This window comes from Homo sapiens, chromosome 19 (assembly GCF_000001405.40).
Source record: "Homo sapiens chromosome 19, GRCh38.p14 Primary Assembly".
In the NCBI taxonomy this organism is placed as follows: Eukaryota; Metazoa; Chordata; class Mammalia; order Primates; family Hominidae; genus Homo; species Homo sapiens.
In genome coordinates, this window is record NC_000019.10 from 38,454,291 (window position 1) to 38,471,244 (window position 16,954).

The 16,954-nt window shown below is 51.8% G+C and overlaps 1 protein-coding gene across 6 annotated transcripts in view, besides 3 other annotated features; it reads left to right on the forward strand.

The window, feature by feature from the left end:
- The window catches only part of RYR1 (ryanodine receptor 1), a 153,874-nt gene that overhangs the window by 20,600 nt on the left and 116,320 nt on the right, over window positions 1-16,954 (forward strand). For all 6 annotated transcript variants that reach the window (NM_000540.3, XM_011527205.3, XM_006723317.3 and 3 more), the window contains exons 14-27: window positions 945-1,080; window positions 1,161-1,256; window positions 1,343-1,461; window positions 3,207-3,340; window positions 3,761-4,002; window positions 4,856-5,048; window positions 6,085-6,301; window positions 9,133-9,237; window positions 9,457-9,560; window positions 10,349-10,432; window positions 11,801-12,108; window positions 13,320-13,522; window positions 14,676-14,850; window positions 15,015-15,223. In NM_000540.3, coding sequence (NP_000531.2) covers window positions 945-1,080; window positions 1,161-1,256; window positions 1,343-1,461; window positions 3,207-3,340; window positions 3,761-4,002; window positions 4,856-5,048; window positions 6,085-6,301; window positions 9,133-9,237; window positions 9,457-9,560; window positions 10,349-10,432; window positions 11,801-12,108; window positions 13,320-13,522; window positions 14,676-14,850; window positions 15,015-15,223 — 2,325 coding nt within the window. The remainder of the gene's footprint in view (window positions 1-944; window positions 1,081-1,160; window positions 1,257-1,342; window positions 1,462-3,206; window positions 3,341-3,760; window positions 4,003-4,855; window positions 5,049-6,084; window positions 6,302-9,132; window positions 9,238-9,456; window positions 9,561-10,348; window positions 10,433-11,800; window positions 12,109-13,319; window positions 13,523-14,675; window positions 14,851-15,014; window positions 15,224-16,954) is intronic.
- Window positions 866-1,066: a silencer, noted in NCBI's record as "peak3472 fragment used in MPRA reporter construct". NCBI's record gives its function as "represses an SCP1 promoter by STARR-seq MPRAs in K562 erythroleukemia cells {active_cell/tissue: K562}" and the evidence as "EXISTENCE:reporter gene assay evidence [ECO:0000049][PMID:32103011]".
- Window positions 8,803-9,304: an enhancer, noted in NCBI's record as "H3K4me1 hESC enhancer chr19:38953733-38954234 (GRCh37/hg19 assembly coordinates)". NCBI's record gives its function as "activates a minimal SCP1, AML or CMV promoter by ChIP-STARR-seq in primed H9 embryonic stem cells {active_cell/tissue: H9 hESC(primed)}" and the evidence as "EXISTENCE:reporter gene assay evidence [ECO:0000049][PMID:30033119]".
- Window positions 9,815-10,411: an enhancer, noted in NCBI's record as "H3K27ac-H3K4me1 hESC enhancer chr19:38954745-38955341 (GRCh37/hg19 assembly coordinates)". NCBI's record gives its function as "activates a minimal SCP1, AML or CMV promoter by ChIP-STARR-seq in primed H9 embryonic stem cells {active_cell/tissue: H9 hESC(primed)}" and the evidence as "EXISTENCE:reporter gene assay evidence [ECO:0000049][PMID:30033119]".

Genomic DNA, 16,954 nt, shown 5'->3' on the forward strand with positions numbered 1-16,954 from the left:
CCACCTCCCAAAGAGCTGGGATTACAGGCGTGAGCCACTGCACCCAGACAGTTTTGTCCTTTTTGTTGATTTCACTGTTTATAATGTCTCCCAAGTGTAGTGCTGAAGTGCTGTCTAGCTTTCCTAAGTGCAAGAAAGCTATGATGTGCCTTACTGAGAAAATATGTGTTAGATAAGCTTAATTAAGGCATGAGTTATAGTACTGTTGGCTGTGAATTTAATGTTAATGACTCAACAATATATATTAAATAACTGTCTTTAAACAGAAACATAAAAAACAAGGTTATGTAATAAGTGGTTGATGAAAATACTGTCACAGACTCTCAGGGACTCCCTGTATTTCCCCTAGAAGCAGTGGTTCAGTATTTGATAATTCAGTCTTCATAATCACTTTATAGAACATAACTATGAATAATGAGAATTGATTGTATATGTTTTATGTACTTTTCTGTATGTATATTATGATTCACAATGAAATAAGAAAAAATATTAAAATGTAAAAAAAAAAAGAAAAGAAAAGATAAAGTGAGAAAAATCTTTCTGATGGTTGGTGTGGAGAATGAACTGGGCCTCTCCAGTTGGTGGGAGTGGGGTTCCAGTTGGATGGTTGGTGGGAGTGGGGTTCCTGGAAGTGAGTAGGATGGAGAGAAAAGTGCAGGAAGGGGAAGTATAAACTCAGTCCTGGTGTTAATAAGGACTGAATTATCATAGACTGAATCTCATATTGGGGATAGAGTCAGAGAGGACAAGAATAGATATGGGGAGCCAAGGAGGAGAGGAGAGCAATGGGACTGATTGGGAATATGAAACCAAAGGGGCTGATTTAGATCTGGGAACACACCGTCACTAGTTGTTGAAGGAATATGAATTCGTGAATCCAAGAAAGACAAGGAAGGGAGGGCCTGGGTCTCCTATTGTGATGCCTCTTATTTTCCTCATCCTAGGGGATGCTCTCCATGGTCCTGAATTGCATAGACCGCCTAAATGTCTACACCACTGCTGCCCACTTTGCTGAGTTTGCAGGGGAGGAGGCAGCCGAGTCCTGGAAAGAGATTGTGAATCTTCTCTATGAACTCCTAGGTAGGGGTCCCAGTCCTGACTCCCCTGAGAACACCCCAGATCCCCAGTCCTATTGGATCTGACACCTCTTCCCCCCTCAGCTTCTCTAATCCGTGGCAATCGTAGCAACTGTGCCCTCTTCTCCACAAACTTGGACTGGCTGGTCAGCAAGCTGGATCGGCTGGAGGCCTCGTCTGGTAGGAGAACCCGGGGGAGTGGGACAGAGGCTTGTGGGAGGGGATGGGCATGGCCGCTTCACCTCTCATTCTGGGCACCCTGGCAGGCATCCTGGAGGTCCTGTACTGTGTCCTCATTGAGAGTCCAGAGGTTCTGAACATCATCCAGGAGAATCACATCAAGTCCATCATCTCCCTCCTGGACAAGCATGGGAGGAACCACAAGGTCGGCCCCTCACCCCTGACCTCTCATCCCCTGAACTCTGAATGCTGGCCTCTCCCCAGGGCTCCAGAACTCTGCTCACTCCCTCACTTCCCTCCTCCATCTCATCTCTCACCTGTACGCCACTCCCACTGGCTTTCATCTCCACACAGGGGTCTCAAACAATGACTCTTAAGTTGATTCTGGGCCACAGATGTGCTTGGTTAGATCTCTGAAATGTTTTTTTTTTTTTTTTTTTTTTGAGACAGAGTCTCACACTGTCGCTCAGACTGGAGTGTAGTGGCGCTATCTTGGCTCACTGCAACCTCTGCCTCCTGGGTTCAAGCGATTCTCCTGCCTCGGCCTCCCAAGTAGCTGGGACTACAGGCACACACCACCACGCCCAGCTAATTTTTGTATTTTTTTTTTAGTAGAGACAGGGTTTCACAATGTTGGCCAGGATGGTCTCGATCTCTTGGCTTCATGATCCGTCCACCTCAGCCTCCCAAATGCTGGAATTACAGGCGTGAACCACCAGCGCCTGGCATTTTTTTTTTTTTTTTTTTGATACAGAGTCTCGCTCTGTCACCCAGACTGGAGTGGGAGTGCAGTGGCATGATCTCAGCTCACTGCAACCTCTGCTTCCCGGGTTCAAGCAATTCTCCTGCCTCAGCCTCCTGAGTAGCTGGGATTACAGGTGCCCGCCACCACGCCCAGCTAATTTTTGTAATTTTAGTAGAGACAGGGTTTCACCATGTTGGCCAGTCTGGTCTCGAACTCCTGACCTCAGGTGATCCACCCACTTTGGCCTCCCAAAGTGCTGGGATTACAGGTGTGAGCCACCGTGCCCCACCGGTGGCGCTGAAATGTTTTTAAAATTTTCAAATATTACAGCCTCTAGGTGGACTGTATATATATACACACACTCTGTAGTTTGCCATAGCCCTACAAGTTCCTGTTGCATTATTTCTAACCACTTCACACATTTATTCAGTCGGAGCAAAAGTAATTGCAGTTTTGCTATTAAAAGGAATGACAGCCGGGCATGGTGGCTCACGCCTGTAATCCCAGCACTTTGGGAGGCCAAGGCGGGCGGATCACGAGGTCAGGAGATCGAGACCATCCTGGCTAATGCGGTGAAACCCTGTCTCTACTAAAAATACAAAAAATTAGCCAGGCATGGTGGCAGGCGCCTGTAGTCCCAGCTACTCGGGAGGCTGAGGCAGGAGAATGATGTGAACCCGGGAGGCAGAGCTTGCAGTGAGCTGAGATTGCGCCACTGCACTCCAGCCTGGGCGACAGAGCCAGACTCCATCTCCAAAAAAAAAAAAAAAAAAAAAAAAAGGAATAACAAAAACCAGAATTACTTTTGCTCCAGCCTAATACATTTTCCACTTGGCCCCTAAAGACACAAGTTTGCAACCCCTGCTGATTTAAAATTTCATCTTGATTCCTGTGTCTCTCACTGGTCGTTTCAGTCTGCCTTCTGACCTCTTACCTCACTACTCCAGTATCTCCTTCCTTACATTGCTGATACCTTATCCCAACTCATGTGACCCTCCCTCAGCCTCTTGCCAGATCTTCCTCTTTGACCCCTAACCTTTCTCTGATCCCTGACCTTCCACTTTCACCACCTCCTCTCAGTCAAAATTGCCACATCTTATCCCGATGCGCTGTCCTTTCCTCCTGGCTTCCCTCCCTCCCAGGGTTCTTCTGTAGATCCTGCCCTGGTGCCTACACACCCTTTAACCTCTGACCTTGACCTCTAGGTCCTGGACGTGCTATGCTCCCTGTGTGTGTGTAATGGTGTGGCTGTACGCTCCAACCAAGATCTTATTACTGAGAACTTGCTGCCTGGCCGTGAGCTTCTGCTGCAGACAAACCTCATCAACTATGTCACCAGGTCTGGCTCTCAACATCTGACCCCAGAACTCAGAACCTCTCAACCCTCTCCCTGACTTAGAGACTCCACACCCAGATGGATGTCCTTTCCTTAATCTCCCACCCCAGGGTTAACAACCAGTCCTCACAGATGTCCACTGTGGCCCCACTCTCCCTTGGCATCCACTCCTCTTGTTCTGTCTTCCTGGCTCCATTTCTGCCTCTATCTGTTTCTCTTTCTTTCTCCCTCTCCCTCTCTCTCTGTTTTCTCTTTTTATCTTTGCCTGTTTCTGTCTTGATTCTTCCTCCATGTCTTTCTCCCTGTCTCTCTCCCATCTCTCTCTCTCTGTCTTTGGATGTCTGTCTCTCTCTGGCTTCCCACCACTTGGCTCTCCTCTCTGCCTCTCCGTCATCCCCCTCTCCTGTCCCATCTCTCCTGCAGCATCCGCCCCAACATCTTTGTGGGCCGAGCGGAAGGCACCACGCAGTACAGCAAATGGTACTTTGAGGTGATGGTGGACGAGGTGACTCCATTTCTGACAGCTCAGGCCACCCACTTGCGGGTGGGCTGGGCCCTCACCGAGGGCTACACCCCCTACCCTGGGGCCGGCGAGGGCTGGGGCGGCAACGGGGTCGGCGATGACCTCTATTCCTACGGCTTTGATGGACTGCATCTCTGGACAGGTACCTGACCCCTTCCAGGGGACCCTCACCCCTGACCATTGACCCCAGCATTTCTAAGTCTCTGACCATACACCTTGGGGTTCTCAGGATCCTGACTCCCTGAAAAGGTCAACTTTTGACCTTTTAGTCCTCATTTCCCAAGACCCTAACCCCAGAGCTTCTAGATTCCCGGCTCTGACTTGTATCCTCGTTACCTACAGAACTCTGATCCCAGAGTAGGTGTGACCTCTGACCCTAGATATCCCAGAAGACCACGCAGATTACTGTGATCTCTGATCTTTGACTTCTAACCCCAGGAGAATTTATTTATTTATTTATTTTGTTTGTTTGTTTGTTTGTTTGTTTATTTTGAAATGGAGTCTCACTCTGTCTCCTAGGCTGGAGTGCAGTAGCATGATCTCAGCTCACTGCAACCTCTGCCTCTCGGGTTCAAGTAATTCTCCTGCCTCAGCCTCCTGAGTAGCTGGGATTACAGGCATGCACCACCACGCCCGGCTCATTTTTGTATTTTTAGTAGAGACAGGGTTTCACCACATTGGCCAGGCTGGTCTCCTGACCTCAAGTGATCCATCCGCCTTGGCCTTCCAAAGTGCTGGGATTACAGGTGTGAGCCACTGCATCCGGCCCCCAGGAGGATTTAATCTCTGGCCCCACAGCTCAGAATCCTAACTTCAGGGGAACCCTGACCTCTGCCCTTCATTTCAGAGCTACGGGAGCATCCAAGGGAGCACTTTCCATTAGGGTTTCCAGGATGCAATCTCCACAGGAGCCTCCAATATCTGTCCCTTTTCTCTTGTTATCATTGGTTCTGTGGGACCTGTGACGTCTGACCCATCTCTGGTGACTGATGCAGGACACGTGGCACGCCCAGTGACTTCCCCAGGGCAGCACCTCCTGGCCCCTGAAGACGTGATCAGCTGCTGCCTGGACCTCAGCGTGCCGTCCATCTCCTTCCGCATCAACGGCTGCCCCGTGCAGGGTGTCTTTGAGTCCTTCAACCTGGACGGGCTCTTCTTCCCTGTTGTCAGCTTCTCGGCTGGTGTCAAGTGAGAACTTGCCCCCACCCCACGGCCAGTCCTCAGACCTAGGACTGACCTGAGACAGCTTCCCCAGTCACTCCATGGTCCCCCAGGAGGCCAGGACACTGCAGCCTACCATCAAGACTGACTGGTGTCCAGAACCCTTACTTGAAGATCCCAGGGACCTCCACGTGACTCCAGACTCTTTCCAATGACCTCAGATTCTCCCTAACCCCACGTCCTTCCAGTAACCTCTGAGATAATGGTCTCAGACTCTCCTAGTGGTCTCTCAACAACCCAAGGTTCTTCCGGTGACCTCCCAATGACCTCAGACTTTCCCAGTGACTCCAGAATCTGATGATCTCATGACTCCAGACCTTCCTTGACTCCCCAGTGGCCTCAGACTCTCCCAATGACTCCAGAATCTGATAATGATCTAATGACTCCAGACCCTCCTTAACCCCCTAATGACTTCAGACTCTTCCAATGACACCATACTCTCTCAATAATCTCTTAATAATGCCAGCATCTCCCGATGACCTTTCAATAGACCCAGACTTGCCCAGTGACCCTGCTCCCGAATAACCCCATTTATTCCAAAGACCCCCCAATGATCCAGTCCTTTCCCAATCACCCCAAGCTCTCCGAATGTCCATTCAGTGGTGTTTATGTTTATTTCATAATTGTAACAGATGCTCAGTGACTTCTCAAATGACCTTCTTATTGGTCTCCCCAACCTTCCAATGACCCCGAATGCTCTGTTGACCTGGGGTCTCCTCTGAAGGACTGTTCCATGACCTTGCAGTCATCTGAACTCTTCTAGATTAACCAGAGACCCTCCCGCTCTCAACTCCCTGGCTCTTAATTCCCTTATGATATTCCTTTGACTCTAGACTTTCTTTTATGACTTCTAAATGACCTCCAGGACACTATGACTGCCCGGTGACCTTTGGTCTCCCCAGAACTTTCCATTGATCCCAGGACTGCTTCCATGTCCCCCACTGACCACAGACTGTCCCCCATAACCTCCCCTCAATGATCCCCATTGTCCTTCCTTACCCAGGGTGCGGTTCCTCCTTGGTGGCCGCCATGGTGAATTCAAGTTCCTGCCCCCACCTGGCTATGCTCCATGCCATGAGGCTGTGCTCCCTCGAGAGCGACTCCATCTTGAACCCATCAAGGAGTATCGACGGGAGGGGCCCCGGGGGCCTCACCTGGTGGGCCCCAGTCGCTGCCTCTCACACACCGACTTCGTGCCCTGCCCTGTGGACACTGTCCAGGTACTGCCTGCCCTGCAAAGGTTTTCTGGCGAGGCAGGGTCTCTTAGGAGTCAGAGAGGGGGCAGGGTGCCATCGTTCATGCCTGTAATCCCAGCACTTTGGATGGCCAGGCGTGGTGGCTCACGCCTGTAAGCCCAGCAATTTGGGAGGCCGAGGCGGGTGGATCACCTGAGGTCAGGAGTTCAAGACCAGCCTGGCCAACACGGTGAAAGTGAAACCCTGTCTCTACTAAAAATACAAAAAGTTAGCTGGGTGTGGTGGCGGGCGCCTATAATCCCAGCTACTCGGGAGACTGAGGCAGGAGAATCGCTTGAACCCGGGAGGTGGAGGTTGCAGTGAGCTGAGGTCACGCCATTGTACTCCAGCCTAAGCAACAAGAGTGAAACTCCATGTCAAAACAAAACAAAACAAAAAACAAAAATTAGCATGGTGGCAGGTGCCTGTAATCCCAGCTACTCGGGAGGCTGAGGCAGAATTGCTTGAACCTGGGAGGCAGAGGTTGCAATGAGCCAAGATCGTGCCACTACACTCCAGCCTGGGCAACAGAGTGAGACTTCATCTCAAAACAAACAAACAAACAAAAACAACCAACATTTTGGGAAGCCGAAGTGGGGGCCTCGCGCTTGAGCCCGAAAGTTCGAGATTAGTATGGGTAACATAGTGATACCCCGTCTTTATAGAAAAAAATTTTTAATATTTACAAATTTAGACAATTTTTTAAAAGGAGTGAGAGAGGTGGGGAGCTGCCCTAGAAGCTGGGAACCTCGTTGTTTAACAGATGGAGAAACTGAGCACAGAGAGGCAAAGGATTCTGTCAGAGCAGAATCGCAGTCTCAGGGAGTCCTCACCACTGCCCCACAAAGAAAGGGTGGCTCACACCTGCGATCCTAGAACTCTGAGAGGCCGAGGCAGGATTGCTTGAGTCCACGAGTTTGAGACCAGCCTAGGCAACATAGCAAGACCCCATCTCTACTAAAAATTAAAAGTTAGCTGAGGTGATGGTCCACGACTGTAGTCCCAGCTACTTGGGAGGCTGAGATGGGAGGGTCACTTGAGCCCAGGGATTCGAGGCTGCAGTGAGCTATGATTGTGCCACTGCACTCCAGCCTGGGTGACAGAGCAAAACCCTGAAAAAAAAAAAAAAAAAAAGAAAGGGAGAGAGAGAGAGAAAGAAAGAAAAAGGCTGGGTGTGGTGGCTCATGCCTGTAATCTCAGCACTTTGGGAGGCTGAGGCGGGCAGATCACCTAAAGTCAGGAATTCAAGACCAGCCTGGCCAACATGGTGAAACCCCATCTCTACTGAAAATACAAAAATGAGCCAGGCATGGTGGCAGGCACCTGTAATCCCAGCTACTCAGGAGGCTGAGGCAGGAGAATCACTTGAACCCGGGAGGTGGAGGTTGCAGTGAGCCGAGATCGCACCACTGCACTCCAGCCTGGGCGACAGAGCAAGACTCCATCTCAAAAGAAGAAAGAAAGAAAGGACTGTTTTTGCCTTCCCTCCAAGCATGTCCCTATAGGAGGGAATATAGGTTAGGTTTAAAAGCCTGACAGCAAAGGTTTGGTTTTCAGTCACGTGATCTTGGGCATGTGACCTCCCCTCCCTGAGCCTCAGTTTGTTCCTCCGTGAGGAAAAGGGGATAACACCCTGATATCTGATAGCATTGTTCATTGTTGTGAAGGTAAGATGAATGGATATAGGCAAGATGCTTAGTCCAGTCCTGATTAAACAGTAAGCACTCAAGACAGTCACTCATTATTAGTAGCAGTGATATCATCTGCGGGGGTGACTTCATCCCCCTGTCCCCAGACCAGTGCCCTGGGCCTCACCCTGGATGCCTCTGTCCCCATCCCCCAGCCTGTCAGCCTCGTGGGCTGTCCACTCGGCCTCCCAGACATCCCCCCGACCCCGCTTTCCTCATCCCCATGTCCCGCCCAAGTCCAAACCATCATTGCCTCTTGCCTGCGGAACGCCAACACCGCTACTGTCTACTAGGCTCTTACCCTCTGCCAGGCATCGATATTAACTATGTAACATTTAGTAATTTACATTAATGATCTCACTGAGTCCTTATTAGGTATCGCTATGATCCTCATACGGAGAAGGAAGGAGACTCCTCCATTCTTTTCATTCAGCAAACATTTCCTGAGCCTCTCTTCTGGGTCTGAGTCTGGTTCTGGGCTGGATAGGGCTGGGGACTTGGTGGAGACCAGGGCAGCCCCAGGCCCTGCCCTCATGGAGCTCCCAGTCCACGGGGGAGACAGACCCGTCCCAGATAATTCCTTAATACTCTCTCTTCTTTTTTTTTTTTTTTTTTTTTTGGAGACAGAGTCTTGCTCTGTTGCCCAGGCTGAAGTGCAGTGGCACAATCTTGGCTCACTGCAACCTCTGCCTCCAGAGTTCAAGCAATTCTCCTGCCTTAGCCTCCCAAGTAACTGGGACTACAGGTGCGCACCACCACATCTGGCTAATTTTTTGTATTTTTAGAAGAGAAGGTGTTTCACCGTGTTGCCTAGGCTGGTCTTGAACTCCTGACCTCAGGCGATCTGCCCCCCCCCCCCCCACTTAGCCTCCCAAAGTGCTGGGATTACAGATGTGAGCCACTACGGCTGGCCCTGGATAATTCCTTAATTCTGAGAATGCTAAGCCCTCACCCATCTGAGTGTCAACCCTGGAGTCAAGGCGAGGGATGGGGAGCAGGGCTGCTGGATGGTGGGAAAGGGGGTGCTGGAGGAGCCTCCCAGGGCTCACAGGTGTTCTTGGAAAGAGGGGTCATGATGGAGGAGGGTAGAGGGACCTTGGGGTCTCAAGAACGTCCCTCTGCCTCTAGATTGTCCTGCCGCCCCATCTGGAGCGCATTCGGGAGAAGCTGGCGGAGAACATCCACGAGCTCTGGGCGCTAACCCGCATCGAGCAGGGCTGGACCTACGGCCCGGTGAGGGGCTGCCTGCAGCCTGCGGGAGGCCGGCTAGACTTGCGGTGCCAGGAGGGAGAGCGGCTCACCGGCGGAGAGGAGGGAGGGACCACAGGGCACCAGGGGGTCCTTGGACTGAGGGTGGCAGAACTAGGGTTGGAGGTCAGGGGTCATAGTCTGGGCATGTGGGGAGTGGGAAGGAAAGGGGAGCACATGGAGTTGACCCTGGGTTTTCTCCAGGTTCGGGATGACAACAAGAGGCTGCACCCGTGTCTTGTGGACTTCCACAGCCTTCCAGAGCCTGAGAGGAACTACAACCTGCAGATGTCTGGGGAGACGCTCAAGTGAGGGCCCAGGGGAGCCGGGGGTTGGGGCTGGCTGCTGGTGCGGTGGGGGAGGGAGGCATGGAGAGACAGGGCAGGAGGTAGAGACTGAGAGAGAGAAGGATGGAGGGGACAGGGATTGTGAGACATAAACAAATGGGGAGTGGCCGGGCACGGTGGCTCACACCTGTAATCCTAGCACTTTGGGAGGCCGAGACGGGTGGATCACTTGAGGTCAGCAGTTCGAGACCAGTCTGGCCAACATGGCAAAACCCCGTCTCTACTAAAAATACAAAACTTAGCCGGGCGTGGTGGTGCACCTCTGTAATCCCAGCTCCTCAGGAGGCTGAGGCAGGAGAATCATTTGAACCTGGGAGGCAGAGGTTGCAGCGAGCCGAGATCACACTACTGCACTCCAGCCTGGGCGACAGAGCGAGACACCGTTTCAGAAAAAAAAAAAAAAAAAAAAAAAAAAAAAAAGAAGCAAACGGGGAGCAAGAAAGGGACAGAGGCAGAAAGAGAGAGAAAGAAAAGGTGGGGATGGAAAGAGAGAGAGATGCAGAAAGAGACAGGGAGACAGGAGAAAGTGGCAGACAGGAAAAGACAGACATAGTTAGTTATACAGACAAGGCGCAGGGAAAGACAGAAGTCATGAAGCCTGAGGCCAGGATCAAGAGAGACAGGGCCAGAGCGCCCCAGGCACTGAAGCAGCAGAGGTAGAGGGAGCTGGAGACCCTGAGGCCGTGGGAGGAGACGGGGCAGGGAGCTCTGAGGGGCGTGACCTGTCGCCTCCACTCCCCCACCCCCAGGACTCTGCTGGCTCTGGGCTGCCACGTGGGCATGGCGGATGAGAAGGCGGAGGACAACCTGAAGAAGACAAAACTCCCCAAGACGTGAGTGTGGGCAGCCAGGTCCCGTCTGGGGATGGACTGGGGGCTGGGGATGCTGTGCTAAGGGCTGGGGAGGTCGAGGGGTCTTGTGGGGAGGCTGAGGTTAGGGAGGAAGGAGACTTGGGTTAGGGTGAAGGTCATAGGGTCAGGGCTCTGGGGTCAGAGGTGAATGTCCAGGATTGAGGAGTTAGGAGTTTCAGAGAGAGAGAGAGGGAGGGTATGAGTCCAGGATCCAGGCTCAGGGTCTGCCTAGAGTCAGGGAAAATGAGAGCAGAGGTCACATGTCCACGTAAGGGGTAAGGGGCCAATGGTAAGAGGTGAGAATCTGGAGGTCGTTGGAGTCGTCTAAGTAAGGGATCCTGAAATTATAGGTGAGCAGTTACACGTCCTGAGTTCAGAGGTCAAGGACTCCAGACCCAGGAGTTTGGGGTGGATGAGGACTGGGATCAGAGTAAGAAACCTCAGAGTGGGCTGGGTGAGGTGGCTCACACCTGTAATCCCAGCACTTTGGGAGGTTGAGGCAGGAAGATCACTTGAGCCCAGTTCAAGACCAGCCTGGGCAACATGGTGAGACCCCTCTACAAAAAATTTAAAAATTAGCAGGACATGGTGGTGGGACATGCCTGTAGTTCCAGCAACTTGGGAGGTTGAGATGGGAGAATTGCTTGAACCCAGGAGTTTGAGGCTGCAGTGAGCCATGATTGCACCACCGCACTCCAGCCTGGGTGACAGAACGAGAAAACAACCTCAAAAAAACAAAAAGAGCCGGGCTCAGTCGCTCACGCCTGTAATCCGAGCACTTTGGGAGGCCGAGGCGGGCGGATCACCTGAGGTCGGGAATTCGAGACCAGCCTGACCAACACGGTGAAACCCACCCTCTACCAAAAATACAAAATTAGCCGGGTGTGGTGGCACATGCCTGTAATCCCTGCTACTCCGGAGGCTGAGGCAGGAGAATCACTTGAACCCAGGAGGTGGAGGTTGCAGTGAGCCGAGATCGTGCCATTGCACTCCAGCCTGGGCAACAAGAGTGAAACTCCGTATCAAAAAAAAAACAAAGAGAGAGAAAAACCTCAAAGTTAGTGGTGAGAGGTCTGAGAGAGTTCCGGGGTTAGAGATAGGGGTCCCAAAGTCAAGACAAAGGGGGCTAGAGGTCATTGATGTCAAAGCCCTTGCTAGGGTCCCAGGATCCTAGGGTCAGAAGCCAGGGATCTCAAAACTTATTCTAAAATTTCATAGAACTGCAACATTATATCAAAGGTCAGAAACGCCGAAGCTGGGACAAGGGTCAGCAGTCAGGGATCCCATATAGTGCAGAGCCCGGAAGTGGAGGTGAGGGCCTTGTCCCATGGAGCCCTACCATGCCCGCAGGTATATGATGAGCAATGGGTACAAGCCGGCTCCGCTGGACCTGAGCCACGTGCGGCTGACGCCGGCGCAGACGACACTGGTGGACCGTCTGGCAGAAAATGGGCACAACGTGTGGGCCCGAGACCGCGTGGGCCAGGGCTGGAGCTACAGCGCAGTGCAGGACATCCCAGCGCGCCGAAACCCTCGGCTGGTGCCCTACCGCCTGCTGGATGAAGCCACCAAGCGCAGCAACCGGGACAGCCTCTGCCAGGCCGTGCGCACCCTCCTGGGCTACGGCTACAACATCGAGCCTCCTGACCAGGAGCCCAGTGAGTGCTCACCCCTGGCCCTGGCCCTGACTCCTACCCCAACTCTGACCCCAGCCCCGATCCCTGATCTCTGACCTGACTCAGCCCCCAAATGGGCTATATCTTTTTTTTTTTTTTTTTTTTTGAGACGGAGTCTCGCTGTCCCCAGGCTGGAGTGCAATGGCGCGATCTCTGCTCACTGCAAGCTCCACCTCCTGGGTTCACACCATTCTCCTGCCTCAGCCTTCCGAGTAGCTGGGATTACCGGCGGGTGCCACCACGCCTGGCTAATTTTTTGTATTTTTAGTAGAGACAGGATTTCACCGTTTTAGCCAGGATGGTCTCGATCTCCTGACCTCGTGATCCGCCTGCCTCGGACTCCCAAAGTGCTGGGATTACAGGCGTGAGCCACTGCACCTGGCCCAAATGGGCTATATCTATCACATCGAGCAGACTGACCAGGAGGTCAGAAAGGACTGACCCCTCCCCGAAACTCTGAGCCTTACCCCAGTTCCAACTCGGAACCTGATGGAACCACTTCCCTTTACCTGACGCCAGCCCTGCCTGGGCTATGACTGCAAACCAGAGCCGTCAGCCTAGGAACCCAATGAGTGCCAACCCCACCTTTGACTCTGATTCCTGACCTCTAGCTTTGATCCCTAATCACTAATCTCTGAACTGTAGCTACCACATGAAGGCACCCAACCAAGGGCTTAGAGAGCCTGGTCACCCCTACCCCTAACCTGACTCCTGACCTATCACTGGCTTCCAATCCCAGCCTTGACCCCAAACCCTGGCCATGGTCCCCAACCTTCAGTTTCTCAACTCTTGGCCCCAACCTGAATTTCCATCCCTTCCATAATCCTGGCTCTGACCCTCCAATCCTGGTCTCAGCCCTTCATTCTAATCAACCCTGATCTTGACCCTTAACCCCAGACCATAACTCTGACCAGTTCACTGAGCTGGCTTTTTCCTTCTGTGTCTCTGCCAGTATCCCTGTTTTCTGAGAATTCTGACTGCTACAGAGATGGGGGTCTCTCTCAACAGGTCCCTGCCTCTCTCTGACTTTTCTGAGGTTCCCCAATTCTCCTCTAACTCCAAGAAATTGACCCTCTTCCAACAGTTCCCCAAAGCCCTTACTGTCCCCCAAAGCCTGTCTTCTACCAACTTCTCGATGTCTTGGGATCCACATCTTCCCTAGCCTCTCTGACTCTGCCTGGCCTCATTTATAGGTCAGGTGGAGAACCAGTCTCGTTGTGACCGGGTGCGCATCTTCCGGGCAGAGAAATCCTATACAGTGCAGAGCGGCCGCTGGTACTTCGAGTTTGAAGCAGTCACCACAGGCGAGATGCGCGTGGGCTGGGCGAGGCCCGAGCTGAGGCCTGATGTAGAGCTGGGAGCTGACGAGCTGGCCTATGTCTTCAATGGGCACCGCGTGGGTACCTCCCTGGGCACCATTCTGCCAGGTCCTGTGGTCTCTCCCACAGCTTGTCTACTCTGGCCCTGCCTCTGTCTGTGCCTCACTCTGTCCCCACTTCATGCATCTACTGTACCACTCATCCACCCATCTATCCATCCATTCAACCAATGATTCATCCATCCATCCATCCATCGATCTATCAGACATCCATCTATCCAACCAACAATTCATCCATCCATCCATCCATCCATCATCCATCCATCCATCCATCCATCCATCCATCCATCCATCCATCCAACCATCCATCCAGCTAACCAACCATCCATTCATCCAGCCAACATAGGGAGACCCCATCTCTACAAAAAATAAAAAAATTAGCTAGGCAAGGTAGCATGCACATATAGTCCCATCATCCATCCATCCATCCATCCATCCATCCATCATCTATCCATCTGACCAGCCAACCATGCATCCATCCATGCATTCAACCATCCATCCATCATCCATTCATCCCTCATCCATCCAACCAACCATCCATCCATCCATTCTTCCAGCCAACTGTCCATCCATCCATCCAATAACCATCTGCCCATCCAACAACCATTTATACAACCATCCTTCCCTTCTTCCCTCTATCTGTCATCCATTTATTTATGCTTGCCCCTACTTACACTTTGTTCTTTCTCTGTATCAACCCAGGTAAACTCTCAACTTTCCAATCATTCTTCTGTCCAGCCATGTACCCAATTTCTCATCCATCTATCTGTCTCATTAGCCACTCATCTATTTTGTGCATGTATATAAGCATATATGGATCTGTATGGGGACACTGATAGGTTCATTTTTCCTTTCCATCCCTCTACTTACTGCTGCTTCCAGCCCCCCACTACCACTTTGGTGGTCTGCATAATGCTAGCCATGGCAACAGCAGAGAACCCAGGCAGAAGGGATGAGACACAGAGATTAGTGGGGAGAAAAATTCCTGTGATCATGGATGCAAATGTGAGGAAAGATGGAGACACTGTGGGGTGACCCCTCTTCCATACCACCTGCCCTGAACCTGACACTTCGAATGTCTGTCTTCATATATCTCTCCCTCCCTGCTTCCTTATCTCTCCATTTCTCTGTGTGTCTCCCCACACCATGTCTTCTCTGGCTGTCCTCACAGGGCCAGCGCTGGCACTTGGGCAGTGAACCATTTGGGCGCCCCTGGCAGCCGGGCGATGTCGTTGGCTGTATGATCGACCTCACAGAGAACACCATTATCTTCACCCTCAATGGCGAGGTCCTCATGTCTGACTCAGGCTCCGAAACAGCCTTCCGGGAGATTGAGATTGGGGACGGTGAGGGCTGAGACCCCTTCACATGCCCTTTCTTGTTTTCCTCTGTCTCTCCCAACCCTGCACTGCCCTTCTGCCTCCAACTCTCCCATCCCTACCTCCTCCCCTCGGCTCCCTCTGCCCTGCCCACCTGCCCTCACCCCTGCCCATCCATCCCCTCCCACCAGGCTTCCTGCCCGTCTGCAGCTTGGGACCTGGCCAGGTGGGTCATCTGAACCTGGGCCAGGACGTGAGCTCTCTGAGGTTCTTTGCCATCTGTGGCCTCCAGGAAGGCTTCGAGCCATTTGCCATCAACATGCAGCGCCCAGTCACCACCTGGTTCAGCAAAGGCCTGCCCCAGTTTGAGCCAGTGCCCCTTGAACACCCTCACTATGAGGTAAGGACTGAGCCCCTCAATGCCTTCTCATCTGCCTCCAAAGCTCCTTCCTTCCACAGTGCTCTTCTTTGAGTTTCTCTTTTCCCTCCATGTTAGGACACAAACCACATGGAAGCAAGTGTCAGAGTGATGGGCTCACGGGCTGTATGACTCCGGGTGTAACTTTGGCAAACCACAGCTTCCTGAGGTCCAGGTGCCTCACCTATAAAATAAGGGAAACCCTGCCTGGGCAACAAGCAAAACTCCATCTCTAAAAATAAAAAAAAATTAAGTCTAGGCATGGTAGCTCATGCCTGTTATCCCAGCACTTAGGGAGGCTGAGGCAGGAGGATCCCTTGAGCCCAGGAGTTCAAGACCAGCCTTGGCAACATAGGGAGACCCCGTCTCTACAAAAAATAAAAAAAAAAATTAGCAAGGTGTGTAGTATGCACATATAGCCCTAGCTACTCAGGAGGTTGAGACTGGAGGATTGCTTGATTCCAAGAGGTCAAGACTGCAGTGAATTAGCCAGATGTGGTGGCACATGCCTGTAATTCCAGCTACTTAGGGGGCTGAGGCAGGAGACTCGCTTGAACACGGGAGATGGAGGTTGCAGTGAGCCAAGATTGCGCCCTTGCACTCCAGCCTGGGCAAGGAGAGCGAAACTCCATCTCAAAAAAAAAAAAAAGTTAAAGGCTGCAGTGAGCTGTGTTCACACCACTGCACTCTAGCCTAAGAGACAGAGCAAGACCCTATCTCAAAAAAAAATTTTTTTTTAATAAATAATTTTTAAAACTTAGCTGGGTGCTGTGGCACATGCCTGGTGTCCCAGCCACTCGGCAAACTGAGGCAGGAGGATCCTCTGAGCTCAGGAGGTCGAGGCTGCAGTAAGCTGATTACACGACTGCACTCCAGCCTGAGTGACAGAGAGGACCCTGTCTCATTGAAAAAAAAAAAAAAAAAAGAGCTGGGCATGGTGGCTCATGCCTGTAATCCCAGCACTTTGGGAGGCCAAGGCGGGCAGATCACTTGAGCCCAGAAGTTCAAGATGAGCCTGGCCAATATGGCAAAAACCCATCTCTACTAAAAATACTCCCCCAAAATTAATGGCGTGGTGGCGGGTGCCTGTAGTCCCAGCTACTCAAGAGGCTGAGGCAGGAGAATCACTTGAACCCAGGAGGTGGAGGTTGCAGTAAGCTGAGGTTGCACCACTGCACTCCAGCCTGGGTGACAGAGCAAGACCCTATCTTTACAAACAAAACAAAACAAAACAGAAGGACTCTGCAAAAGGAGTTTTAAGTATGGGAACGTCCAGTTGAGGTCTGAGTTTTGGAAAGGTCCCTATTGGCAGTGGATTGTAGGAGGTGACAGTGGAGTCAGAAGGATCCTAGAGGTGGCTGGGACGGGGCAGTACTGCAGAGTGGACGCAGAGTTCCTGACACCTGCCACTACCAGATGTCCCCAACCCAAGGCACAGCATGCTACACGGAAGTGAGAATGAATACCTGGAAATACACACAGCCATGTGGACGAATCTCAGACATAATGTCGAGTAGAAGAAGCCGGAGACAAGAGAGCACAGGCTGTGGGATTCCATTCACAGAAAGTTCAAGAACAGGCAGAGCGGATCTGTGGTGTGCTCAGTTGGGAAATTGGTTACTATGAAAGAATAACTCAGAGACATTGTTAGTTACTTTGAATGCAAATCACAGGAGGGAGCTCAGTCAGTAGACTATTGCCAAAGAACAAAGG